General features: G+C 50.2%; 1 protein-coding gene across 75 annotated transcripts in view, besides 4 other annotated features; it reads left to right on the forward strand.

The window, feature by feature from the left end:
* The window catches only part of SUN1 (Sad1 and UNC84 domain containing 1), a 59378-nt gene that overhangs the window by 11173 nt on the left and 21130 nt on the right, over positions 1–27075 (forward strand). For 3 of the 75 annotated variants that reach the window (NM_001367678.1, NM_001367699.1, NM_001367687.1), the window contains exons 2-14: positions 5776–5872; positions 12069–12257; positions 15217–15401; positions 16477–16503; positions 16612–16791; positions 21689–21886; positions 22791–22874; positions 23194–23304; positions 24655–24753; positions 25221–25314; positions 25880–25938; positions 26084–26223; positions 26680–26889. In NM_001367678.1, the coding sequence (NP_001354607.1) occupies positions 5796–5872; positions 12069–12257; positions 15217–15401; positions 16477–16503; positions 16612–16791; positions 21689–21886; positions 22791–22874; positions 23194–23304; positions 24655–24753; positions 25221–25314; positions 25880–25938; positions 26084–26223; positions 26680–26889 (1653 nt within the window). In that variant the 5' untranslated portion in view covers positions 5776–5795. Of the gene's footprint in view, positions 1–5746; positions 5873–12068; positions 12258–14644; positions 14791–15216; positions 15402–15752; positions 16380–16476; positions 16504–16584; positions 17084–21688; positions 21887–22790; positions 22875–23193; positions 23305–24654; positions 24754–25220; positions 25315–25879; positions 25939–26080; positions 26224–26679; positions 26890–27075 lie in introns of those variants that run through there. The other 72 variants (NM_001367634.1, NM_001367633.1, NM_001367653.1 and 69 more) reach the window with 55 other exon arrangements.
* Positions 3465–4360: an enhancer, noted in NCBI's record as "H3K27ac-H3K4me1 hESC enhancer chr7:869831-870726 (GRCh37/hg19 assembly coordinates)". NCBI's record gives its function as "activates a minimal SCP1, AML or CMV promoter by ChIP-STARR-seq in naive H9 embryonic stem cells {active_cell/tissue: H9 hESC(naive)}" and the evidence as "EXISTENCE:reporter gene assay evidence [ECO:0000049][PMID:30033119]".
* Positions 5180–5279: an enhancer, noted in NCBI's record as "active region_25474". NCBI's record gives its function as "activates an Ori minimal core promoter by ATAC-STARR-seq in GM12878 lymphoblastoid cells {active_cell/tissue: GM12878}" and the evidence as "EXISTENCE:reporter gene assay evidence [ECO:0000049][PMID:35858748]".
* Positions 5300–6499: an enhancer, noted in NCBI's record as "P300/CBP strongly-dependent group 1 enhancer chr7:871666-872865 (GRCh37/hg19 assembly coordinates)". NCBI's record gives its function as "activates an origin of replication core promoter dependent on BRD2, BRD4, P300/CBP, MED14 and CDK7 cofactors, with strong dependence on P300/CBP, by STARR-seq in HCT116 cells {active_cell/tissue: HCT116}" and the evidence as "EXISTENCE:reporter gene assay evidence [ECO:0000049][PMID:35650434]".
* Positions 20529–20578: an enhancer, noted in NCBI's record as "active region_25475". NCBI's record gives its function as "activates an Ori minimal core promoter by ATAC-STARR-seq in GM12878 lymphoblastoid cells {active_cell/tissue: GM12878}" and the evidence as "EXISTENCE:reporter gene assay evidence [ECO:0000049][PMID:35858748]".

Consider the following 27075-nt stretch of genomic DNA (forward strand, 5'->3'; position numbering starts at 1 on the left):
GGCTCCCTCTCAGTGTTAGTCCACATCGTCAGTGACCAACGCTGGGGCACAGGAAATGCAGCCTGTGCATTGTGCTAATGTCTGTAAACGGTGCCTTTGCAGGAGATCCCATTGTTCATGAGTGTTTCGTAGAAAATAATTATCAACTCGGTATTGACGGTTGCTGTTTATAGGCTGAAGGGAAGTGCTGCCTGCAGGTTTTAAAGTTTGCCTTTTCCAGTTTTCTTTAGAGCTGATAGCATTTCCTGAGAAAAGATGGTGTGTTGATTTTATTTCAGAACACTCAAGGTTTGTTTTTTGTTTTTGTTTTTGAGATGGAGTCTCGCTCTGTCACCCAGGCTGGAGTGCAGCGGCAGATCTCAGCTCACTGCAACCTCTGCCTCCCGGGTTCAAGCAATTCTCATGCCTCAGCCTCCCAAGTAGTTGGGACTACAGGCACGTGCCACCACGCCCGGCTAAGTTTTGTAGTTTTGCTAGAGACGGGGTTTCACCATATTGGCCAGGCTGGTCTCAAACTCCTAACCTCAAGTGATCCTCCTGCCCGCCTTGGCCTCCCAGAGTGCTGGGATTATAGGTGTCAGCCACTGTGCCTGGCCAGACCCATTTAGTTTTGTTCTGTTTTCAGCCTTGTATGAAGATTTTTCAACCATGTTCTCTGGATTATTACTAGATTAGTACAGATATTCTGAATAGTAGACTCAAGTGATATGGAGAGTAGGACTAAAATCTAAAGTCCGTTTTTTTTTTTTTTTTTTTTTGAGATGGGGTCACGCTCTGTCCCCCAGGCTGGGGTGCAGTGGCGCAATCTCGGCTCACTGCAAGCTCCACCTCCCGGGTTCACGCCATTCTCCCGCCTCAGCCTCCCGAGTAGCTGGGACTACAGGTGCCCGCCACCACGCCCGGCTAATTTCTTGTATTTTTAGTAGAGATGGGGTTTCACCATTCACAGGATGGTCTCGATCTCCTGACCTTGTGATCCTCCCACCTTGGCCTCCCAAAGTACTGGGATTACAGGCGTGAGCCACCGTGCCTGGCCTAAAATCCATTTTTTACCAAAGCATTCAAGAAAAAAAACTGAGCTGTATATTTTCGTGTCTACCATATAATATAAATTATATACTGTAAAAGGTAAATGGTATTAAAAGAGAAACCTAGTATAACTTACGTAGTTTTTGTTTGTTTGTTCGTTTGTTTTTTTGAGACAGAGTCTCACTCTGTCACAGGCTGGAATGCGCTGAAATATGGGCTCACCGCAACCTGCGCCTCCTGGTTCAAGTGATTCTCGTGCCTCAGCCTCCCGAGTAGCTGGGATTACAAGCACGCACCACCACACCCGGCTGATTTTTGTATTTTTAATAGAGGGGTGGTTTCACCATGTTGCCCAGGCTGGTCTCGAACTCCTGACCTTAGGTGATCCACCCACCTCGCCCTCCCAAAGTGTTGGGATTACAGGCATGAGCCACCCCACCTGGCCTTATCTAATTTTAAAACCCTGCTAGGATATATATGTATGTTTTTGTTTTTGTTTTTGTTTTTTGTTTTTGTTTTGTTTTGTTTTTTGAGACAGAGTCTCACTCTGTCACCCAGGCTGGAGTGCAGTGGTGCTGTGTTGGCTCACTGCAACCTCCATCTCCTGGGTTCAATCAGTTCTCCTGCCTCAGCCTCCTGAGTAGCTGGGATTACAGGCGCCCGCCACCACACCCAGCTAATTTTTATATATTTAGTAGAGACGGGGTTTCACCATGTTGGCCCCGCTGGCCTCGAACTCCTGACTTCAGGTGGTCTGCCTGCCTCTGCCTCCCAAAGTGCTGGGATTACAGGTGTGAGCCACCATGCCCGGCTGGATGTATATATTTGTAAAGAAACCTAAGCCGTAGGTTTGAAACCAAAGTTTGCAACCTTAACAGAAGCCCTCTACTTTTCCTGTTTTTGTGAGCTTGTAAGCTCTCTTGGCCACCAGCAAACACAAGATAAAAGGGAGAGACTTTGTCTGGGTGACAGGCATCCCTGGCCGCTGTCTCCTGAGGTGTGTGCTTCTCTAGTGTCGATGGCTCTCCACCCGTCCATCCTCCAGAAGCCATCTCGTAGGAGGACCAGCAGGGATCTTCCCACAGTCCCCTCTGTGCACACCTGTGCTGAGCCGGCCAGCCTGAGAACCCATGTCCAGGGCTTTCTGAGGCCCAGCTCCTATTCTCAGCATCCTGCACAAAGCTGGGTACCAGTTAGTCCGTTTCCTTCCACCAGGCCAGGGACACACACTCGTGTGGAACACAACTCTCCCAAAGCCATGCCAGGCATGACACTCAGGGCAGGGCAGCCAGGGAGGCACAGATGCCAGCAGGAGCATCACGCCTGCAGACCGCACATCTATGCAGAATGTCAACTTCAGATTCTTTCCAGGTTTTTCTGATGCCATTGAAAACATGCTGGATCCGTTTTTCACTTACTGTGTGGTTACTGATCAGATTATAAATGCAAAAAACATCTCCCTTGAGTCTCTCAGACAGGTGACCGAGGCAGCCTCCTCTTCACATGGGAAGGCTCTAATGTTACATTTCAGTTTTAATTAGCAGCGATGTAATGGAGACTGGGAATGGTGTTGTGAAAATGCTGAGTACTCTTTGGCGGTCAGTAGAGCTGGTCTCAGAACCATGCTTTTGCCTGCAGGTGTGCCGGCGAGCAGTGCAAGGGCTGGGGGCTCCCGCCTGCTGGCTGAGTCCTAGCTGTAGGGCTCATCGGTGGACCTTTGCCTTTCATTTAGGGTAGGGTGAACAAATCTTTTGTCTCAGGAATTGCACACCCAGAAGAAAAATAACTGGTTTTTTTTTTTGTTTTTTTTTTTTGAGATGGAGTCTCGCTCTGTCGCCCAGGCTGGAGTGCAGTGGCGCTATCTCGGCTCACTGCAAGCTCCGCTTCCCAGGTTCATGCCATTCTCCTGCCTCAGCCTCCCGAGTACCTGGGACTACAGGCGCCCGCCACCAAGCCCAGCTAACTTTTTGTATTTTTAGTAAAGACGGTGTTTCACTGTGTTAGCCAGGATGGTCTCGATCTCTCGACCTCATGATCTGCCCTCCTCGGCCTCCCAAAGTGCTGGGATTATAGGCGTGAGCCACCGAGCCCGGCCATAACTGTTCTTTTTTAAAATTTAAAACATCGGCCATATCGCTTTACTCTTCAAAATAACCGCAGCTGACGCCTGAGTGCTTGTCACCTGTCAGGCATTGCCTGAGGTACACAGTTTCATTTAATCCTTTTTTGACTTCATTTTATTTTATCCTATAATTTAATATTTGATTTCGTAAAGGACTAAGGATGAAATTTAAAATCTTCCATTTCCAAATTTAAAATGATCCGTGTCGTGGTCTGTTAAGGGGGAAGGAGGAAGGAGGGAGTGAATGAGACTGCAGGGTGGGGAGGGGAGTTGGGGAGCTCTGGGAGCCTCTCACCTGGCAGCAGGCCTGTGGCCCATGTGGGAGAGCGCAGAGCACCTGCCTTGGGGACGCTGGGGCACATTGTCACAGCCTCTGCTGCCGCTGCCTCGCAAGGTTCTGCTTGGCATGAGCCTGGGCTTCGGCGCTTGTCAGGGTGGGGTTATTTTCTAGGCTGAGAGATAATGGCCAGGACATTTCCCTAGATCCTGGACAGGTGTCATTACGCGGGGACTGCATCAGGGTGGGTAAGGAACCCTGTTACCTCGTTTCAAAGTGTTAGGAAATAGAGAAAATGATAGATTCCGCATATTTTGTACATAGATGCATTTTACTGGGGAACATAAACTTAAAATTCACGTGATTATGAAAGTGAAATCAGAATGATGAAGACAGATTAAGGGTCTGTAATCACAGACTCCACATCCTCACTTCCTCAGCACCTGCTGAACCTGGAGTGTGACCTCTTTTCCCTACCATCCCCATCTTCCTTGCTTTGCTTTTCTCTGGCCTGGCTGCCCTAATGGCCTTATTGCTAAATTAGCCCAACATCTGAGCAGGAGTGGATGTCCATAGAACTACTGAGTTAGCCCAGTGTCCCCCAGGGTGGGAGCGGGAGTGGGTGTCCATAGCACTGAGTTAGCCCAGTGTCCCCCAGGGTATAGCGGGAGTGGGCGTTCGCTGAGCCCAGCTTTGGGTTGTTGCTCGGCAGTGCAGGCAGAGCCCATTGTTGCATTGCTGCTGGGCGGGGCTGGGTTCTGCAGAAGCTGCCAGAGCAGGCCTGCGCACCTCAGGAGCCCAGGCATGGTGTATAGGTGGAGGGTAGCCTACATTGGATCCAGGCCAAGGCCCTGTCCTGTGCCGGGCTCCTCTGCGTGTGGGTTGAATCTAGATTTAGGTGTTGGTTAAAGTAGGTAGACAGGTGGGAGAGAGACAGTTAAACAGGTATTAACTATTACGTGGATTAAGTGATCACAGTTAGTTTTATTTGCAAAAGGCTGTTGAAGCGTAAGTTCCTGGAATGCCGAGCAAGTGTGAACTGGACTTGCCGAGCCTGTGTCTGGGTCGGACGCTGGGCTGGGTGTCCCTGGAAAGAACAAGAGTTTTGAAACGTGCTTTTTTTTTTTTTTTTGAGATGGAATCTCGCTCTGTCACCCAGGCTGGCGTACAGTGGTACGATCTCGGCTCACTGCAAGCTCCGCCTCCCGGGTTCATGCCATTCTCCTGCCTCAGCCTCCCGAGTAGCTGGGACTACAGGTGCCCGCCACCACGCCTGGCTAATTTTTGTATTTTTAGTAGAGACGGGGTTTCACCGTGTTAGCGAGGATGGTCTCGATCTCCTGACCTCGTGATCCGCCCACCTCGGCCTCCCAAAGTGCTGGGATTCCAGGCGTGAGCCACCGCACCCGGCCGAAACATGTTTTAAAATGCAGGAGTTTCATCATGCTTGTCGATACTTGTAGGTGTAGTACAATTTTTATATGTAAACAATGGTCTTTATTTCTGTGATACTTTATTTCAAAGAAGGTAGCATGAATTAAAGTACTTTTGGCTTGGTTTATGGAGCTCAGTTATTTGTACAAAAGTGTCTTTTGTCCAGGAGGTTCTTTTAGTTATATCTCCCTCAGATATTTCAGCAGCCGACTGTGATTCACATTGCTTCTACGAGGACTTTTTGAAAGTCAGGGTGTGTGCATGTGAGTATTTTTAGCCAGAGGAAAGTATGAGTCATTCCAAATAAATCTAGATGACAACCTGAGAAACAATATACTCAACACTTTCTAACCTAAAAAATATCCTGTTTTTTGGTGAGGAAAAAAGTGTAAATAGTGCCTTAAGCTTTTTTGTTATTCACCCTGCAGTTTCTTTTCTGATTCTGAGATGCTTGTGAGAGCTTCAGCCATCTAGGAACGCATACGCTGCTGCTTGACCACGCTGTAGCAGGTAGTTCTATTTTAGTTAGTAAAATAAAAACTGATTTCAGAAGACCGAGAACATTTTGACACAGTGAGGATTTAAAAACACATCTTGAAGAGAGCTCTGAGTTTCTCTCCGTGTTTCTTGGAAGGTGCCCCTGGTTTCACGAGTCAGCCACTTTAGGGTTCCCCTGGTCTTTTTCTCAGGATATATGAGGGGACTAGATTATGATAGAAGTGTTCCTGGGCTTGTAACTATGGAAACACTTGTCTCGTCTGTTTAGAAAACACTGCTGCTGGCCGTGTTTCCTGTGAGTTTTGAGGGTGACCTGAGTTGAGTTGCGTGTAGGCAGCTCAGGTTGACTGAGACAGGAATGCGCTCGATTTCCTGCCCGTTAAAACACTCTGCATTTCTTTCCCGCCCTCTGCAGTATGGTTTGAAGTGGTGAACATGGATTTTTCTCGGCTTCACATGTACAGTCCTCCCCAGTGTGTGCCGGAGAACACGGGCTACACGTATGCGCTCAGGTGAGTGTGCACCTGCACGTGGGGTCCTGGCCTTGCAATGCCCACTCGCTGTCGCGGTGGCGTGGACCTTAACAGGAACTCCATAGTACTACCGACTACATGCTGTATTTTGAAGGTGAAAAAAAATAATAAACTGTATCTTATGGCTTTAGAGGTGGTTTTTTCTTACGGCTTTAAGGTAAACTGAATCTGTTCATCCTGGTGACTGGGTGGTTAGTCATCGCACATGGCTTGCTGGCTTCGACCCCACCCAGGTGGTTGTGATGTTGAGAAGATGTCTCTGTGGTGATGCCTGGTGTTTGTGAGAACGTATCAGTGGCTTGGTATTTTTAAGTTAACAGAAATAACCTGGAAAATTATTTCCCATTTCAAAGGAAACATCATAGAACAGCGTTGAAGCTCAGGGTTTTGAGAACACAACTTTTGTCTGAGGCGGAGTTTTCTGCTTTTATTCATATTCCGATCCACTGAACCAAGACATTGGAGTCTGAAGAGGCGCTGCCCTGCCCCTTCTGCTTTCAGTTTTCCAAGTAGAAAGAGCGACTGAAACGAAGTTTGCGTTTGATGACATTACGGGTCAGCAGCAAGGGAAGGTACACAGCTAGACGGGCCCGGATTTGATCAGCAGGTTGGAAAACTTGTGCACCCAGCAGATGTTTAAGGCACCAGGAAAATGCTTGTGTAATTTTTTTCAGTGGCTTATCCTTTTTTTTTTTTTTCGTTTTTTTGGAGACAGAGTCTCACCGTCGCCCAGGCTAGAGTGCAGTGGTGCAATCTCGGCTCACTGCAACATCCGCCTCCCAGATTCAAGCAGTTCTTCTGCCTCAGCCTCTGGAGTAGCTGGGATTACAGACGTGCGCCACCACGCCCAGCTAATTTTTGTATTTTTAATAGAGATGGGGTTTCACCATGTGGACCAGGCCAATCTCGAGCTCCTGACCTCAGGTGATCCACCCACCTCGGCCTCCCAAAGTGCTGGGATTCCAGGCGTGAGCCACCGTGCCCGGTCTCAGTGGGTTATCCTCTAAAGGGTGAAAATGTAATGGAAACTGTAAGAAAATTAGAAAATATTTTAAGAAAAATACTTGTTACCAGCATTAGTCAGAGCTCACATTCGATGATCGAGTTTTTAATTCACAGTTCTAGGTCCATCACACTTCCATAGCAACACACTCTGTTTTCTAAGAGTCCTGTAGTGGTGAGAACAGAACGGGCAGGCCAGCTCAGGGGAGACTGCTGCTTCCTTCAGACCGTGCAGCATGAAACAGTGATTTGTGGTCACTTATTTTTGCTTTTCTGACCTATTTTAATAGAGTTTTTAAAATGCCTCTGTTTCTTTACCTTGGGAGAGCAACACTTAATTTCACTGAAATTCACAGCCTTCCTTCAGTGAGACCTGTGGGCAGACCTCTGTGGCAGCTGGAGTGGGAAATGCAGAGGGAAGGTGGGCAGGGGCTGGCCGGAGTGGTTGTAGGCTGGGCTGGGAATTTAGACTCTTGGTGGGCAGGGGCTGGCTGGATGGTGTAGGCTGGGCTGGGAATTTAGACTCTTGGTGGGCAGGGGCTGGCCGGATGGTGTAGGCTGGGCTGGGAATTTAGACTCTTGGTGGGCAGGGGCTGGCCGGATGGTGTAGGCTGGGCTGGGAATTTGGACTCTCGGGCACTGGGAACTCCTGAAAGGATTTAAAGGTGGGGGGCTCTCTGAGGTTGCTGCAGGATAGAGGTCAGGGGCTGTCCAGGAGATGGCCGGAGTGCCTCGGGGAGGTCCAGCTCTGGATCAGGACCAGAGGGAAGGACCAGCCGCCTCACCTGAGTGGAGGCCCGTGGAGCACAGCCGGAGACTGGAGGTGGGGGCCTCAGGGCTGGTCTGGACATCAGTGCCTGGGTCCTCCTGGTCCTGGGCTGGCCTCCCGCAGACCTTGCCACCTCAGCTGGCCGGCCTTGCGTTGGGTCCTTACACTCTTCTCTGCTTCCTTTCCTTTGGCTCCTCGTAGCCCTGACCTCTTTTCTGAAAGTTCCCCTTGTCTTGCAGCCCTCCCCGCACAGCTGGAAGGTGGAGCGGCCGTTCCTGATGGCTTTCTGTCTCCATCACTACCCTTGTCTTGATTCTTAGCAATTTCAGTAAACACTGAAAGGATAGTCCAGCATTCTGGCCACTCACTTTCTTTAATTAAATTTTTTTTCTCTTTTGGGGGCCAGGCGCAGTGGCTCACGCCTGTAATCCCAGCACTTTGGGAGGCTGAGGCGGGTGGATCACTTGAGGTAAAGAGTTCGAGAGTAGCCTGGCCAACATGGTGAAACCCCGTCTCTACTAAAAATACAAAAATTAGCTGGGTGTGGTGGTAGGCTCCTGTAATCCCAGCTACTTGGTAGGCTGAGGCAGGAGAATCGCTTGAACCCAAGAGGTGGAGGTTGCAGTGAGCTGAGATCGCGCCACTGCAGTCCAGCCTGGGAGACGGTGTGAGGCTCTGTCTCAAAAAGTAAACAAAATAAAATTTTTTTTCTCTTTTGGAAAATGATAATATGCAGGTTGAGAGAATAGTGACAAGCCCATTTGCCGGCCACTGGCTTCGCCAGTGATGCATGCGGGTCTTCCGCCCCCACCCAGCACTTCGGAGCCTCTGCGACTGGTGCTTCAGTTCACGGGTTCCCCAGCCCGCTGTCCTGCACCAGTGGCCTGGCACTCTCCTCACTGGGACAGGGTGGGCCCGAACACTTACTCTCAACTTCCCCTGGAACTTCACTGGATTCTTTAAAGCCAGTCTCTAAAAGATAATGATATATTTAAAATAACCCAAATACCACTATCATCCCAGTCATTTAAAAGGGCTTCTTAATGTATTTAGTCAGTGTTCCAATATCCCAGATCCTTGAATTTTCTCTTTCACAATTAATTTTTTTTTAAATTAGCCTAAACAGGATCCTCATGTTACATTGGGTGATTTCCCTCTTAAATCTCAATCTGTAATTCTTGTCAACTGGTAGTTAAGTCTGGAAGTGCAGTCATTCTTTGGTTTCTTTCTTCATTGGCGTGACTCTGTGACAGATGGTGTTACGGGATGTTGCTCCCTGTCACAGCTTGAGTCTGTGCTGTCTGACGTGTCTCCTCTGTTAGCGCTGAGGCTGATGGATGTTGTCAGCTTGACCCACCCGCAGTAAAATCCAGCCATTGGTGATGGTTGCCTTGAACTTCAGGGTCAGAGGAGGATGTTTCCCGGAGCCCTCGGAACCAACGTGCTGCTGCCCATGCTCAGATCCAGGGGGGCTGGAGACATGAGGGTCCCACCATCCAGCCTCTCATGGGGGTGTTGGCTGTGGAAGCCGAAAGAAGAGAGTTTCCAGAATGGGGGACTTGTCAGCAGGGGCAGATGCTGCTGGACAGGCGGGAAGAAGGGGCAACTCAGCCATGGAGGCCGGGGGGCCTGGCAGAAGCCGCTTCAGAGCCTCCACGGGGCAAGGAGCGAGCCGAAACTAGCCGGCGCTGCAACCTGTCGGCTGCTGGGGGAGGTGGAGAGGCGTGGCTTTGAGGGGAAGTTGTTTTTTACCGTGGGCTGAGCCAAGCGTGTGTCTAGATGCTGGTGGTCAGGAGCCAGTAGAGAAGCTGAAGATGTAGGAGAACGAGGAAGGGCCTCCTGCAGAGAGAGAGGAGGGAAGGAGGAACTCCATCCAGAGCACGCAGGCTTGGCTCGGGATTACTTTTCCATCGCAGCAGGCAGGAAGGGTGTGTCAGGGTAGAACATGAGTAAACGTATGAATAGGTGCATAGGAATAGATTGATTATGCGGAATTGGCTCATGGAGGCTGGCAAGGCCCAAGATCTTCAGGTTGAGTTGGCAAGGGGAGACTCAGGGCAGCCGATGGTGTAAGTTCCAGGCCAAGTCCAGAGGCCCAAGACCCAGGAGAACCACGGTATAGTTCCAGTTTGAAGGTCAGCTGGCTCATGGAAGAGCTCATGTTCTGGTTTGAGTCTGAAGGCAGTTTGTAGCTGGCGTTCCAGGTCCAGGCTGTCCAGCAGGAGGAGCTCCTTCTTACTGAAGCCTTCGTGTTCTGTCCAGGCCTTCAGCTGACTGGAGGGCAGTCTGCTTTCCTAGTGTTTTAATTTAAATGTTACTGTCATCCAGAAATAACCTCACAGATACACTCAGAATAATGTTGGAGCAAATATCTGAGCGCCCAAGGCCCAGTCAGGTTGACACATGCAGGTAACCCCTGCAGAGGGAAAGGATGGGCGCGGTCAAGGAGGAGGCAGTTTTCTGATGGCATCTGGCTTTTCTGGGAAGAAAAATGCAGGGCATTTCTGACAGAGACCGAGAGCTGGAGGGAAGGAGGTGGTGACGTCAGACGTGGGGCGGATGGAGGGGGTCTGAGAAGGCCATTGAGGGCTGGGCACACATGGCCCCCGACGCATGGATGGCCTGAGGACCTGGGGACTGCGAATCATGACGCACTCACACCTGCAACATGGTGAGCTTGGGAGAAAGCGTCTAGGCCCACCCTGTCCTGGCAGGGAGAGTGCCAGGCCCCCTGGGGCAGCAGGACAGTGGGCTGGGGAACCCTCGTGAGCTGAAGCCCTGGTTGCGGAGGCTCTGAAGTGCTGGGGTGAGCAGGGTTCCGTGGCTGGAAGAGCTGGGGCGAGCCGGGGTCTGTGGCTGGAGTCGGTGTCAGGGCACAGCCGTCACACTCTGAGCAGCGGTCTGAAGCACGTCAGTCTCAGACACGTGGACTGTGCCGCTTTTGGTCCGGCTCCCCTGAGCTGAGTTAACCTCGTGTGCCTTTGTCGGGCAGGTGCTGTGGGTCCAGGGATGCTTGGTATCTGTCTCTGGTTTTCAATTGGAGTCAATTTTTTTCAATCTTTTGATACAAAGTACATCTAAATAACACATTTTTAAAAGAACAGTGCATAACTAATCAGAGAGAGACGTTAAGGCCTAGTGGTCTTAAAGGTGAGATCTCTTATCTTCAGAGTTTTTGTCAGTCTTGTCTCCTTGTTCTGTTACTTAATTCTCTCTAATCCTAGACTGGAGACCTCCGTTTGAAATTTTATGTTCCCCCAAACATTGCAGAAAAGGTAATAAAGTGCTTTAATACGATAGCCTACTGGGCTGTGTTGATTCCTGGGATGGTGCTGGGCCAGCATCCGTGTCCTCCTGTCTCCACTGGACACTGGTGTCCTCCTGCAGGGCTCTGGGCATACCTGTCTGTAGGAACCATGTTATGGATGGTGGCTGGGTTCACAGGTTTTCTTAAACTAGAATCACAATTGTGTAAAATATTCTGCTAGAAACAAACCCTTCTTGAGATGACACTGAAATTCTGTCTGGCTTCATAACAGTCATCAGCATTCAACATAGCTTAGTGCAGTCTCTCTCTTGTCCCCACCTCAGCCTCTAAGTTAAAGAAGAACCTCTTTCTTAAATTGTGTGTAGTGACTCAAAGCAGTTTGTATTAACTTACTGTTGGTCATGAACGTATGACAGGGTCTAGCTCTGTTGCCCAGGCTGAAGTGCAGTGGCACAGTCATAGCTCACTGCAGCCTCAAACTCCCAGGCTCACGCAATCCTCCTGCCTAGGCCTCCCTAAGTGCTGGGATTGCAGGCGTGAACCACTGTGCCTGGCTCATCTTTTTATTTAATTACATTAGTTGAATAATTATATGGAAGGTATTGGAAGTGACTGTCTTTTGGTCACAGGCTCAAAGCAGTTGTGAATTGTCTGAAGCCTTTAGATAAATTCTAAATTTAGAAGGGGAGCATTGACGGCCCGATCACTTGGCCTCCTCTCCTGCGTGGATTCATTCTACGGCGCACTGGTGTATTGGATTAAATCTCACGTCCGCGTAGTGTTGACGAGGAAACACACTCTGATGTGTTTATAGCAAGGACGTAGGTGGGGACTCAGGGCTCTAGCATATGCCCTCAAGCAGTTCTTAGGGTGAGTTGTAGACGCTGGGCCCCAGCATCTGGGAATGTGCTGTCCTACATCTGATGTGAAGGAAGAGTGGCTGGGGCAGATGTCAGGAGCCCATGCTGGCTGACCTGTGTGCCACCGTACGTTTGCTTTAGAGTGAGGTTGTCACCCAGTAATAGTTGCTCTTGAAAATCCACAGTACATTGCACTTTCAGTTTATGGTTTGTTCATTTTGTTTCAGAATGGGGGCTATAAGCACTGCTTACCTCTGATGAGCTTTTTCCTTCTAGTTCCAGCTATTCTTCAGATGCTCTGGATTTTGAGACGGAGCACAAATTGGACCCTGTATTTGATTCTCCACGGATGTCCCGCCGTAGTTTGCGCCTGGCCACGACAGCATGCACCCTGGGGGATGGTGAGGCTGTGGGTGCCGACAGCGGCACCAGCAGCGCTGTCTCCCTGAAGAACCGAGCGGCCAGGTGAGCACCGCTGCACTTCCTCTCCATCTGATCTCTAACACCAGTTAAAACCAAGCTTCCATACTTTTTGGTCTGTAAAGCCGCACCCTGTCTCGAGCTTAAGGATATGTGTGTGTATGTGCGTGTACAGACACACAAACCTGTCATATAAAGTGGTAGTTTGCTGCAAATAAAGACTGAAAGGAACTCTGGAATCTGTGTGGCTTGTCTAGTATTGATGTTCTGCTGTTCTTGTTTCAAGTTCTCTTCGCTGGTGCACGCCACGTGCAGTGCCAGCACTCAGGTCTGGAAGCTTTGTGGTCCTGTGGTGGGAGCTCAGCTACAGCTGTCCTACCACATGTGTAAAGAGGAAGGAATCTTACAGATTACACATGCTGTCGTGGACGATCTCCGTGTCCAGTTCATTCTTTTTTCTGGAGACGGAGTCTCGCTCTGTCGCCCAGGGTGGAATGCAGTGGCACGATCTCAGCTCACTGCCTCCTCTGTCTCCCGGGTTCAAGCGATTCTACTGCACGCAGCCTCCTGAGTAGCTGGGATTACAGGCGCCCGCCACCACGCCTGGCAAATTTTCCTTTTTTTTTGAGACAGAGTCTCACTTCGTTGCCCAGGCTGGAGTACAGTGGTGGCGTGATCTTGGCTCACTGCAGCCTCTGCCTCCCGGGTTCAAGAGATTCTCCTGCCTCAGCCTCCCGAGTAGCTGGGACTACAGGCACCCACCACCACGCCCAGCTAATTTTTGTATTTTTAGTAGAGACGCGGTTTTCACCATGTTGGCCAGGCTGGTCTCGAACTCCTGGTCTCAGGTGATCCGCCCATTGCAGCCTCCCAAAGTGCTGCGATTACAGGCGTGAGCCACTGCGCCCGGCCCAGTTCATTCTTTAGGTCTTTATTAAAAATCTGTGTGTTAACTGACAAATACATAAAGTTTAGGTTATTTACCTATATTTGCGTTCGTCGAGTTCATTTGATCTCTGAACTCTCCACGTGCCCACTTCTGTGCAGAGAAGGAACAAAAGTCTACAAGATCTTTGTGCCATTTAGGGATAATAAAAGTGACAGCTTTATGTTGCTCATGTAAGAATAAGAGCTTCCGTTCCAGTCATCTTTCTCTCGAGAAGGAAGACGGTGGCTGTTAAGAGCGATGGCGGAATGGTTGATGGGTGGAGAACTGCCTGGGATCTGAACAGCCACTCCCAGCCGGTGGCTTCCACAGGCACCACAGTCATCTAGGGAGTTCACTGCGCAAAGAGTTCGATTCCCAGCCTCACCCTTGGAGATGCAGGGTGTGAGTTCATGATGCAGCTGAGGACCAGCAGATCCCATTGGGTAGCTCCGTGTCAAGCACCCAGTTACCAGGGTCGCACAGCAGCCCAGTCTCCGTCTCCCAGTGGCGTGGAGAGCAAGTGTGCTGCAGCTGTACTGCCACGCCGCGCTCTGCCGCGCCACGCTCCTGTGGCCGTCGTCCTCCCTCTGCCGGGTGTCACTGCTGCCTTTGGCCTCCCAAGCTTCCTTCGAAGGGGAGGATCTTGTTCATCGTCCTGGGTTCCCCCTACCTGACGGTGGTAACATTCACAGGGTGTTTTCATCTGATGGCTTTCCTGTTGTCATTTGTGGTCAATATGAATGCAGAAATTATTTTTTGACCATCTATTCTTTTTTTTTTTTTTTTTTTTGAAACGGAGTCTCACTCTGTCTCCCAGGCTGGAGTGCAGTGGTGCAATCTCGACTCACCACAAGCTCCGCCTCCTGGGTTCACGCCATTCTCCTGCCTCAGCCTCCCGAGTAGCTGGGACTACAGGTGCCCGCCACCATGCCTGGCTAATTTTTTGTATTTTTAGTAGAGGCGGGGTTTCACCGTGTTAGCCAGGATGGTCCCGATCTCCTGACCTCGTGATCCACCTGTCTTGGTCTCCCAAAGTGCTGGGATTACAGGCATGAGCCACTGCGCCTGGCCCTTATATTTTGAGACAGAGTTTCGCTTTTGTTGCCCAGGCTGGAGTGCAATGGCGCGATCTTGGCTCACCGCAACCTCTGCCTTCCAGGTTCAAGCGATTCTCCAGCCTCAGCCTCCCGAGTAGCTGGGATTGCAGGCATGTGCCACCATGCCCAGCTAATTTTGTATTTTTAGTAGAGATGGGGTTTCTCCATGTTGGTCAGGCTGGTCTTGAACTCCCGACCTCAGGTGATCCGCCTGCCCCAGCCTCCCAAAGTGCTGGGATGACAGGTGTGAGCCGCCGTACCTGGCCTATGACCACCTATTTTTTTTTTTTTTTTTGAGCCGGAGTCTGGCTCTGTCACCCAGGCTGGAGTGCAGTGGCGTGATCTCAGATCACTGCAACCTCTGTCTCCCAGGTTCACTCCATTCTCCTGCCACAGCCTCCCGAGTAGCTGAAACTACAGGCGCCCGCCAACACGCCCGGCTAATTTTTTGTATTTTAGTAGAGATGGGGTTTCACCGTGTTGGCCAGGATGGTCTCGATCTCCTGACCTCGTGATTTGCCCATTTCGGCCTCCCAAAGTACTGGGATTCCAGGTGAGAGCCACCGCGCCTGGCCATGACTACCTATTCTTGTTGTACTTAACACAATTCCATCTTTACCAGCAACTTAGAAATCGTTTTTAGAAAAGGGGAGGATTAAATTTATAAATCACAGATGTTTTTATTTTCAGATCTTTTTTATTTCTAGTTTATTTTAGCTTTTAACCACTTGGGGTCATGGTGCCCAAAATAACCTGGAAACTATTTTGTGTTTACAATTTTAGAGGGAGTTCTTGGATCCCAGCTCAAAAATTCCTTTTTTATATTAACAGTTGATTCATTACAGCAGAAAAGGCATAGGAAAATGGTTTGCCTTAAAATGCTGTTTATTCCCAGATTAAGAGTTTGTGTTGGTCAAATGTAATCATTTTGTATTTGCTAGAAAAGATCTATAAACTTGCTGTTTTTTTTTCTTCTTAGAACAACAAAACAGCGCAGAAGCACAAACAAATCAGCTTTTAGTATCAACCACGTGTCAAGGCAGGTCACGTCCTCTGGCGTCAGCCACGGCGGCACTGTCAGCCTGCAGGATGCTGTGACTCGACGGCCTCCTGTATTGGACGAGTCTTGGATTCGTGAACAGACCACAGTGGACCACTTCTGGGGTGAGTCCCTGCGAGACACAGATTGTCCCGCCTACAGTTGGGGTGTTTCTCAGATTATGCTGGGGAGAGGGGAGGCGGTGGCCAGGTTGTCGGTTTGCATGGATTATGCTAGGGAGAGGGAGGCTGTGGCCACATTGTGGGTTTGCTGCGTGACTGGCTGGTAGGAGCATCAGTTAGGTTCCAGGCTTGTCCTCAGACTTGATCAGGACGCTCCTTGGAAGCTGCTTCCATGTGCGCCTTGTCGGGTGGTCATTGGGTTATGCTAACGTGTAGTGACTAGTTCCAATGGGGAGATGAAGCAGCAGGTAGTAATCTTATAACTCTGTTTTTATAAATGCATTACTTTTGTAGGATGTTTGAACAAAGACAATCCAAAAACTTCAGTGTGTTTCCAAGAAAGCTCTAAGCAGTGAAGCAGCCAGGGTTAGAGAGTTCTTAGAGAATGCTGCAGGGTGAGGCACTGGCGCTCAGACTTGGCTGACGTGGAGTCTGGGCAGTGGGAGCCCCAGCCTGGCTGGCGAGAGCATGGGGTCCCAAGGCTGTGCATGGAGAGGGAAGCATGGTAAGGGGCGCCCAGCCGCTCATCTGCATTCGGTTTATGTTCTGGTTGGCCCTTTTGAGACAATTAGAAGATCCAGATTAGTTCCAGAGATCACATGTGCTAATTTTGGGAAGCCTTGGTATTGGTGTTTGTTCTGTTTTGCTCAGCTAGTGAGAGTGGTTACCAGGCAACAGAGAGGCATCTGCTGCTGCTGAGGCTTGTGCCTTGCTGAGCGGGCTGTGAGAAGATAGATGGGCTTTCCTCTCCTTCCCTCATGTTCTGCTTTCCTCCTTAGGCCAGGTGCTGTGTGTGCTGCCGTCTGTCTGTATTTTCTTCAAGGATAAGCTTTCACCTTCAGTCAGAAGATGGTATCTGCATATATCTGGAGGCATTTTAGGAAATAAACTGTGACCAGTGCCATAATGCTGATTTATTAACCATTGTAACCTTTACATTTTTTAATGGGTTTTGTTCTTATTTGATAAGCTGAGCTCAACAGCAAAAATGTGTGTGTGTGTGTGTTTTTTTTTTTAGGTCTTGATGATGATGGTGATCTTAAAGGTAATTATTTTAGTCCTTTTATCTTCATATACTTTTCAAAATAGAAGTTTTAGTTAAATATCTGCAGACTGTGATAAACAGGTTCCATCTACTGTTTGAAAACTTTAGGTGGAAATAAAGCTGCCATTCAGGGAAACGGGGATGTGGGAGCCGCCGCCGCCACCGCGCACAACGGCTTCTCCTGCAGCAACTGCAGCATGCTGTCCGAGCGCAAGGACGTGCTCACGGCGCACCCCGCGGCCCCCGGGCCCGTGTCGAGAGTTTATTCTAGGGACAGGAATCAAAAATGTAAGTCTCAGTCCTTTAAAACTCAGAAAAAGGTGTGTTTTCCAAATTTAATATTTCCTTTCTGTAAGTCTCAGTGTCTGCACTATTTGTCTTGGAGACTTAAAATTATCCCTTGAAAGCATAAGAAGTACACCCCAAACCAGCTTTGTCCTTCCTGTCCTCTTCTAGTTTACATTTTATGTGGTTAGTAATTTTGTACCTAAAAGTATTTGAAATTCTATAAATTTGGACTTGACGTGAGCAAAAGAAAATTTCTACGTAAGCGAAACTAATAAAACTACAGTCACTTTCAGATGCACACCTTTATTTTTATAAAACGGCACAGATGTTCACACATACTGAAGGAGTGGCTTTGGGACGCTGCTCTGGTCTGTCCTGTGAAGAGTGGTTATGCCAGTGTTCGTGTCGGGAAAACATTTCCCGTGGTCGCTAGCCCTGTGCTTATGGTGATGGAGGGGCCTTCAGAGAACCTGTAGGTCTGGGAAGGACACACGTGACTCTGGTTTGTTCTGGGACAGCAGCAGTCACTGCAGGAAACCCCCTGATGTGGACATGGGCTTCCCTCAGAGGCGACTGGGCAAGAGTGTGGGTGTCACCGCGGGGGGCCTCCTCCTGGGCCTGCAGGAGAGACAGAACCACAGGCCCCTTTGCGGCTTCCAGGCGGGACTGGGATTCCCTGGGGGGCTGGGATTCTGTGCCCTTCATGACTGCCTGGCCCAGGATCTCTCTCACCTGCAGCAGGAAGAGGCTGGGACCCTCGGCCGGGCCGGGTGCTGCCTGGTTCTCAAGCCCTTAGCAGCTTGTCCTTCGAGCTCACGTTCTGCTGTGCCTGGAGGTGCTGGAAGCCTCAGGAGGGCAGGGCCAGGTCTGTCTTATCCACTCCGAGCCTGGCATTGCCCGGGACGTGGGGCGTTTGTCCAGTATTATTCAAATGACCGGACATAATGAAGGATGGCGACAGGACGAAGGCTTCTGCCCTAAGATTTCTCGCATCTCGTTTTTACCATCTTGTCTTCGTGGCCCTCACTTGTGGTTGTGTCTGCTGTGGTGTTATGGACACTGCTAGTGTTAATACAGCACAATAAGAAAGTGTGAAAGGGGCCGGGAAAGGTGGCGGGAGCGGGGCGGCACGTGGGTTCCCCTCACAGCACTGTGCACGGTGCCTGCTTGGGTTCCTCCATGTGGACCAGCACCGCTGAGCGGCCACTCTGCGCCAGGCACTGTTCATGGGTGATCACGGCAGCCCCCTTATTACAGACAAGCAAACTGGGGCTTAGCCAGCTCAGGAGGCTCGCAGGTAGGTGGGGGAGCCTGGAGCTGAACCCAGGCGTCTGACCCAGGTGCTCCCCCTTAGCCACCTGCCTCCATGAGCACTTGGCACCCCAGGGCCCCGGGGGTGCTGCACGTGAGCCGTGGCGTAGCTTAATCGACGCGCACAAGGATTCCGTGTATTCAGTGTTTATTGAGGCTGTGTTTTGAAGCATGCCATTGATAGGTTGAACATAACATTTTTCTTAGAATAAAAGCACATTCCATACACTCTACTATGGCAGAATAAGGAGGTTCACAGATAATTGAGAGAAGCCACCGAAACGTGCTGTTTTCTGAAGGTCTCCCTACGCGTGTTGTAGTAAATGTGTGTCTCTCTGTGACTGACAGTATGCTGGCGGTCAGGGCCCAAGCTCAGCCTTGCGTTTGAGTGTATCTTTAGATGGAAAAGGCGTTGGTGTGGTGTGGATTGTAGCTTCCCGAAACTCATGGCGCCTCCCCTCGGACGTCGGTGTCGTGGCGCCTCCCCGCGGATGTCGGTCTTGGGTGTTTTGGGGGAGAAAACAAGCCCCATCCTTCCCGCGGGGTTTCTGGGCTTCACGCCTGCCTTGCCCTCTCAGACAAAGGCCAGGACTTGTGCGGCCCACACTAGTGTATCGCCCTGTATTAGAGTAAAACATGTTTATCAAAGAACATTGGAAAATCAGACACAAAGAAGAAAATAAAAATCACCTACAAGCTGCCACACCAGAAAAAAAAAACACACTTCCAGAAATTTCCCCTCTGCATACTTATAGTCAGATTGCATGAATTGTTTGCATAATCATATTTACTTAAAATAAGTATAGCTTTCCTTAAGTATAAATTGTCCCTCCACATTTTGTTTGTTTTTGTTTTTTATGTATGTACTAATGGTAATTCTCACTGTAAAGTCTTTCAGTAGTACAGATAAAATAAGTCCTTTTCCCCCACCCAATCCATCTCCTGGGGGAACCACTGCTAATGATAATAGTTGAGTGGGAATTCTTACGCTTTTTAAAATGAGGTAAAATTCAGATAACATGAAATGAACCATTAACGTGTGCGGCTTGGGAGTCGTTGGCCTCCCCAGTGCTGCGTGGCTGTCCCGGGGTTCTCGTCAGCCTCCCCGGTGCTGCGTGGCTGTCCCGGGGTTCTCCTAGGCACCTGCAGGACTGTGCAGTTCTGGCTTTGTCTTTCCTGAAATGCCATCACGGTGTATGCACAGTTTAGCATCTCTTTTCATTTTGTATGTTAATTGAGGTTAACTTTATTCTTTTTGATGCCTGTACAGTTTTTTGTTTGTTTGTTTGTTTTTTGAGATGCAGTCTTGCTCTGTTGCCCAGGCTGGAGTACAGTGATGTGATCTCAGCTCACTGCAACCTCCACCTCCCGGGCTCAAGCGATTCTCCTGCCTCAGCCTCCTGAGTAGCTGGGACTACAGGCGCCCACTACCATGCCCGGCTAATTTTTGTATTTTTCGTAGAGACGGGGTTCCACCATGTTGGCCAGGCTGGTCTTGAACTCCTGACCTTGTGATCCGCCCACCTTGGCCTCCCAAAGTGCTGGGATTACAGGGATGAGTCACCATGCCCAGCCCAACACACATTGTATCTTTTAAAGTGAGAGGTGGCACGTACCTGTAGTCCCAGCTACTTGGGAGGCTGAGAGGCAGGAGGATTGCTTGAGCCCAGGAGGTTGAGGCTGCAGTGAGCTGAGATCATACCACTGCACTTCAGCCTGGGCGAGAGTGAGACCTGTCTCAAATAAATAAATTAAAAAATAGGCTGGGTACTGTGGCTCATGCCTGTAATCCCAGATCTTGTGGGAGGCGGAGGTGGGAGGATCACATGAGGCCTGGAGTTTGAGACCAGCCTGGGCAACATAGCAAGACCCCATCTCTAAAAAAGCAGAAACAAATTAGCTGGGCATGGTGGCATGTGCCTGTACTTCCAGCTACTCAGGAGGCTGAGGTGGGAGGATCGCTTGAGCTCAGGAGGCTTGAGACCAGCCTGGGCAACACAGTGAGACTTCTTCTCAACAAAAAATACAAAACGTCAGCTGGGCATGGTGGCCAGCGCCTGTAATCCCAGCTACTTGGGCGGCTGAGGCAGGAGGATCACTTAGGCCCAGAGTTGAAGGCTGCAGTGAGCTATGATCATGCCCCTGCTAGGCCACAGAGCAAGAGCTTATCTCTAAAAAAAATTAAAAATAAAAATAATAAATAGCAAAGGAGGAGATTCTGGTGCTCCAGTGTCCCATTCTTAAGCTGGTGGGTCAGAGGTACGAAGCAAATGGCTGTTTGGCAGTATCTGAATGTCGTAGTGTATGTGTGAACAGCATTGGAGTGAAGTGGCCACGGCTCGGGTACTCTGTAGATGATTGCTAGTGCGCCAGCGGAGTTGGCGGCCTTCCCCTGGGGGTTACCCCGCAGTCCAGTCTCCGGGGTCCCCTGGGGGTTACCCCGCAGCGCCGTCTCCGGGATCCCCTGGGGGTTACTCCGCAGTCCAGGCTCCGGGATCCCCTGGGGGTTACCCCGCAGCGCCCTCTCTGGGATCTCCTGGGGGTTACTCCGCAGTCCAGTCTCCGGGATCCCCTGGGGGTTACCCCGCAGCACCCTCTCCGGGATCCCCTGGGGGTTACTCCGCAGTCCAGTCTCCGGGGTCCCCTGGGGGTTACCCCACAGCGCCGTGCGCCAGCGGAGTTGGCGGCCTTCCCCTGGGGGTTACCCCGCAGTCCAGTCTCCGGGGTCCCCTGGGGGTTACCCCGCAGCGCCGTGCGCCAGCGGAGTTGGCAGCCTTCCCCTGGGGGTTACCCCGCAGTCCAGTCTCCGGGGTCCCCTGGGGGTTACCCCGCAGCGCCGTGCGCCAGCGGAGTTGGCGGCCTTCCCCTGGGGGTTACCCCGCAGTCCAGTCTCCGGGGTCCCCTGGGGGTTACCCCGCAGCGCCGTGCGCCAGCGGAGTTGGCGGCCTTCCCCTGGGGGTTACCCCGCAGTCCAGTCTCCGGGGTCCCCTGGGGGTTACCCCGCAGCGCCGTGCGCCAGCGGAGTTGGCGGCCTTCCCCTGGGGGTTACCCCGCAGCGCCGTCTCCGGGATCCCCTGGGGGTTACTCCACAGTCCAGTCTCCGGGATCCCCTGGGGGTTACCCCGCAGCGCCCTCTCTGGGATCTCCTGGGGGTTACTCCGCAGTCCAGTCTCCGGGATCCCCTGGGGGTTACTCTGCAGTCCAGTCTCCGGGATCCCCTGGGGGTTACCCCGCAGCGCCCTCTCTGGGATCTCCTGGGGGTTACTCCGCAGTACCCTCTCCGGGATCCCCTGGGGGTTACTCCGCAGTCCAGTCTCCAGGATCCCCTGGGGGTTACTCTGCAGCACCCTCTCCGGGATCCCCTGGGGGTTACTCTGCAGTCCAGTCTTCGGGGTACCCTGGGGGTTGCTCCGCAGCACCCTCTCCAGGGTCCCCTGTCCACTGCCAGCTGGGCTCTTCCCCAAGTGATTATCTTTGGTGTCCATTCTAAAAGTGCCTGAAATGAATAATTTGGCTACCTGACTTATCAGGAAGTAGATATTGGCTTTATGGGAAGAAATAACGCATGTTCATGGTTTTTTAATAGGCGGTGCGTCTTTCTACGTGAATAGGATTTTGTGGCTGGCCAGATACACTGCATCATCTTTTTCATCATTTTTAGTTCAACTTTTTCAAGTGGTTTTAATGAAGCTCAGTTATGAATCAGAAAATTACAAATTGAAAACTCATGAATCAAAAGATTGTGAATCCGAAAGCTATAAGTCAAAAAGCCATGAATCAAAAGGTATTTAAATATTTTTTCCCTCCTTTTTCCACCAATCACACTTTCGCAGTGGAGAAAGTGCTGTGACTTTCCTCGCCAGGCGCCTCCCTCGCTGCCTCCTCCTGTGGTCTTGGTGCTGGCTCTCTCCTGGCTTCCCCCTCTGGATCTTGCATCCCTGGGAGCTTGTGGAACTTTTCGTTTGTTCTGTGTGTGGTTTGGTTCCCTCAGAGCTGATCAGTGTTGAAACATCTTTAAAGTTATTTCTTAAACAAAAAGTTAATGTGCTCAACTTTTGATTTTTATTACCTTTTTAAAGCAAAAACTTTACCTGAGTGGTATTTAGAACCTGTTTTTTCAGAACTTTTTTTCTTTTTGAGACGGAGTTTCACTCTTGTTGCCCAGGCTGGAGTGCAGTGGTGTGATCTCGGCTCACCGCAACCTCCGCCTCCTGGGTTCAAGCGATTCTCCTGCCTCAGCCTCCCAAGTAGCTGGGACTACAGGCGCACGCCACCACGCCCGGCTAATTTTTTGCATTTTTACTAAAGTAGACATGGGGTTTCATCATGTTAGCCAAGATGGTCTCCAACTCCTGACCTCGTGATCGCCCGCCTCAGCCTCCCAAGTGCTGGGATTACAGGCTTGAGCAACTGCGCCCAACCCAGAACTATTTTAAGCAGGCCAATCTTTGTATTGTTTGGGCCACACACACGATTCAGCCAGAGGGTGGGGGCCCTTTCACGTCTCTTCTCGTGGCCCGGGCCCTGTCAGCGGCATTCACCTGTGTGGTAGGAGCCATCGGCTGTGGGAACTCTGTGGAAGTGGCTAGCCTTGCACATCCTCTGATCATGTTGACTTCATCAGGGTGCGAGAAGCACTTGAGCTTGGCGTCGGTGAGTTCCCTAAGCCTCTTTTGCGTGTGTTGCAGCTCATGCCAGTTACTATGGGAGAATGAATGTGAGAGAGGTTCTCAGAGAGGATGGCCACCTCAGTGTAAATGGGGAAGCGCTGTGTAAGTATGGCTTCGTTTTCCTGTGGGCGTCGGTCGTGGAGTTGGTCCCACACGCTGTCATGTTGGGTACTAGCAGTAGAGAATGAACGGCCCGTGTGACATGGTGGTCCTCACTGATGACGACGGGCTGTTGGAGCTGCTGCTTAAGCCCTCATCACAGAAGCTCATAGCCACCAGATCGCATTTGCTTTGATTGTTGACTGTCTCGTGTGTAATTGAGTTTCCCAGTTTCTACAGACTGCCATTGCTATGCACGGCTGAGATGGACAGAGTTTGCTTGTGAATCCGCCACACTCACTGCCTGTCACCACACCTGCAGGCGACGACTGTAAGGGCAAGAGGCACCTCGACGCGCACACAGCCGCCCACTCGCAGTCGCCACGGCTGCCCGGTCGGGCAGGGACCCTCTGGCACATCTGGGCATGTGCAGGTTGTCTCTCGCCCCGTCTCCGTCTCATCTCGCCCTGTCACCATGCTATTTGTGTCTTGTGTGGTTTGTGCTTGGAATTCAAGTGCTTTAAAGTCTTGCTGTAAAAACTGACAGGAATAGTATTAACTTTGGTTTAAAACAGGGTGAATCTCTCTCGAAAAGCTCCCTTGTAAATATTTTTTGGAAGCGGAGTCTCACTCTGTTGCCCAGGCTGGAGTGCAGTGGTGCAATCTTGGCTCACTGCAGCCTCCACCTCCAGAGTTCAAGCAATTCTCCTGCCACAGCCTCCTGAGTAGCTGGGACTACAGGCGCACACCACCACACCCAGATAATTTTTTTGTATTTTTAGTAGAGACAGGGTTTCACTGTGTTAGCCAGGATGGTCTCGATTTCCTGACCTAGTGATCTGCCTGCCTCGGCCTCCCAAAGTGCTGTTGGCATCTTAAAAAAAAAGTTAGTTTCAAAAATAATTGTCTCACCTGCTAATGAATAAACATAAAGCCATTGATTTTTCTTTTAAATTCTCATAAGCCATATTTCTTTGCATGTCAACCATGTTGTAATTACATAGTTGCAGGAATTCACAAGCAGGTGTTAAGTCACTGTGAGGAGATAGCCACCCACAGTGAGAACTGGAACAAAACTTACTTTGGGAGGCTGAGGCGGGTGGATCACTTGAGGCCGGGAGTTCAAGACCAGCCTGGCCAATGTAGCAAAACCCTGTCTCTTAAATTAAAAAAAAAAAAAAACAAAAAAAAACTGGAACAAAACAGATTTCATGAGCAGTTTCCTGCTTTTTGTAATGTGAGGTTTGATACTAAGTTGATTGTGGCACATTCCGTCATCCGGCAGTGCTGTGTTACCATTCTGAAACACTGTTTCACTAGAAAATATTAGCCTTTAGAATAATGTTAGTTTTGGTCTTAATTATTTCCTCGCCTAGCACATATGAACTGCAGGTGTCTATGGAATTTCAATCTGCTTTAAAATATGGTATGATCTTCCCAATATAAATTGTGCTGGCACCAATGGCCAATATTTGTAGGGCGGCTTCCAACCTCCGCCCCCTGGGGTTTTTAGGAGATATCTGCATTTTACACCTGAAGTATCTGCAGGCAGAAGTGAGTGAAAACTATTAAAAAATAGAACTGAGCTTTTCAAATGGTCATGTCAGTGCAATATTGCCAGCACTTACAAGAGTTATTTGGCTTTTCATATTTTTTGAGGAGACTCTTGACCCACCGATGCAGGCTTTGGTGAAGTGTGTGGCTTGGGCGTCCCCACCGTGCTGTCACTGCAGAGGCTGGTCCCTGGCGTCTGTCTGAGGCCACACACGTCTTCCCTGCACAGGTTACTTCTTGCTGCAGATTCTGCGCAGGATCGGAGCTGTGGGCCAGGCTGTGTCCAGGACGGCGTGGTCGGCCCTTTGGCTGGCCGTGGTTGCTCCAGGTGGCTATTTTGGGTTTCTGTGTTGCGTTCTCTCCAGAGCTTCTGGCAGCTAAGCACCTGCACTCGATTTACCTAACCAAGTAAAAATCTCATTTAGGCTCTCATGCTTTGACCCTTGGCGTAACGTGTCTCGTTCTTTATGACGTAGCAATGTTAACTGACTGTACTTGCTGCATGAGCGCCCTTGGTTTCTCTGGGGTTGGGTCTGGGGGAAGTCCGGCTGCCTGAATGCCCGGTGCAGAGAATGCATGGATCTGGGGCTTCCTCTCCTGCATTCTGTCCTGTGTGTTCATCAGCATGATACGTTACTGCCTTGCTTCCTGCCGTGGCGACTAGCATCACCGAACTTCTTCACCTCCAGCTTCATCTTCATGTGCTTCTAGCTTGGCCTTCACAGAAATGGTCCATTTAGGAGCTTGGTTTTCCTAAAAACATTTCCTTAGAATGTTTGGTGTTTTCTCTTGTAGGGAAGGCAGCCTCTGGAGTGTTCTGGTGGCTGGGGATTGGATGGTACCAGTTTGTTACTTTGATTTCTTGGCTGAATGTGTTTCTTCTTACCAGGTAAGGAAATGGATATCATGTCAGCGTGGTGCTTTAAGGAACCAATTTTGTGCCAATTGCAGGCTCTCATTTGATTTGTTATTTTGTAAGGATTTAGCTTATATTTACATAGTGTTTGTATATTTTACAAAAGTGCTTTTATATTCTTATTTTTCAAACCAACCTGTGAGATAAGAAAAGCAGATATCATTAAGGAAAACAAATGTGCAGAGGTGAGGCAGCTGGGAGGGCCTGGGCAGGATGGGGGACCCAGGTCCAGGCTTCTGCCCTGCTGCAGTTCCCAGTGGCATCAGTCACCTCAGAAGGCTGTGATCCGAAGGGGCAGCGACTCAGGGTAGCTCAGGCCATTCCCACAGCACCAGAGAGTTGGTAACGTAGGTCTCAAAGACACCATTTTACATGAAGGTTCTCCTGAAGGCATCAGAAGCCTTGTAGATAAAACCGTAACTGCTTTTCTAATACTGGGGGGGTGGATTTTGCACAAAATTATCTAGAGGGGGAAAACAGATTGGTGAACCCTGACTTTCATTTTTTCTAAGTCAAAGGTTTTCATTGTTACTCCCAGGTGCCTTCGAAACATCTGCAAGTTTTTAGTCTTGCTCATCCCACTCTTCCTTTTACTAGGTAAGTCAAATCTGGCTGAGTTGCCTCCGATGGCTAAGCGGTACACACATATGTGTAACTTAGTGGAAAAAAATGAGCGTGTAAGTCCATGTTTTGAGAAGCGTGGTGTACCTGTGTGTGTGTGGTGGCTCTTCTCTTTTAGCAGGTCTCTCCTTACGGGGCCAGGGCAATTTCTTTTCGTTCTTGCCCGTGTTGAACTGGGCAAGCATGCATAGAACACAGCGGGTGGATGACCCCCAGGACGTGTTTAAACCCACGACTTCTCGCCTGAAGCAGCCTCTGCAGGTAAGAGGGTAGAAAGGCCTCTCAGCTGGCACTGCACATGTGAGGTCTTCAGGGACGTTCCACACTGCTGTGAGCCAGGCACTTCAGTTGGGTGTCCTGTTGTAAGAAGTATTTTTAAATGTCAGATAAGCAAGTCTTTGGAGCTCCTTAAGTGTTCTAGGATAGTTCAAATGCACATTTAAAGTACTCTCATGATTCAGTTAGTTTTAATTTTAAAAACATAATAGTATTCATCACTGTACAAAGTACAGAAAGTATAGAGAAGAAAATGAGAAGCACCCATAGTCAGCCATGTAAGGATCAAACCTGATACTCCGGGTTTCTGTGGATTCCTCCATTCGTGTGCCGTGCGCCCCAGAGCTGGCGTCTTGCTGTAGGACACTGTTTGGAGGTTTAACTGACTCTGTGCTCATGCTTGTTTGACTACCTGGTTTCATTTCTCTCTTGCCATTTCAGGGTGACAGTGAGGCTTTTCCGTGGCATTGGATGAGTGGCGTGGAGCAGCAGGTGGCCTCTCTGTCTGGACAGTGCCACCACCATGGTGAGAATCTCCGAGAGCTGACCACTTTGCTACAGAAGCTGCAGGCTCGGGTGGACCAGATGGAAGGCGGCGCTGCCGGGCCGTCAGCTTCGGTCAGAGACGCTGTGGGACAGCCCCCGAGGGAGGTGGGTGCTGCCGGGCTACCAGGCTCCATGGTGACACCAACGCGCTTCTGGGTGCCATGTTCTCTCCTTTTGGGAGACAGAGGGGACAGGAGAGGTGCCGTTGTGAAAAGGGGTTGCCCTTTCTGTTCTTAGTTGTTGAGAGCAGTGTGCCGGAGAGGGAGTGGGTTTCCCGTCGTCTGCCGATGA

This window comes from Homo sapiens, chromosome 7 (assembly GCF_000001405.40).
Source record: "Homo sapiens chromosome 7, GRCh38.p14 Primary Assembly".
Lineage (NCBI taxonomy): Eukaryota > Metazoa > Chordata > Mammalia > Primates > Hominidae > Homo > Homo sapiens.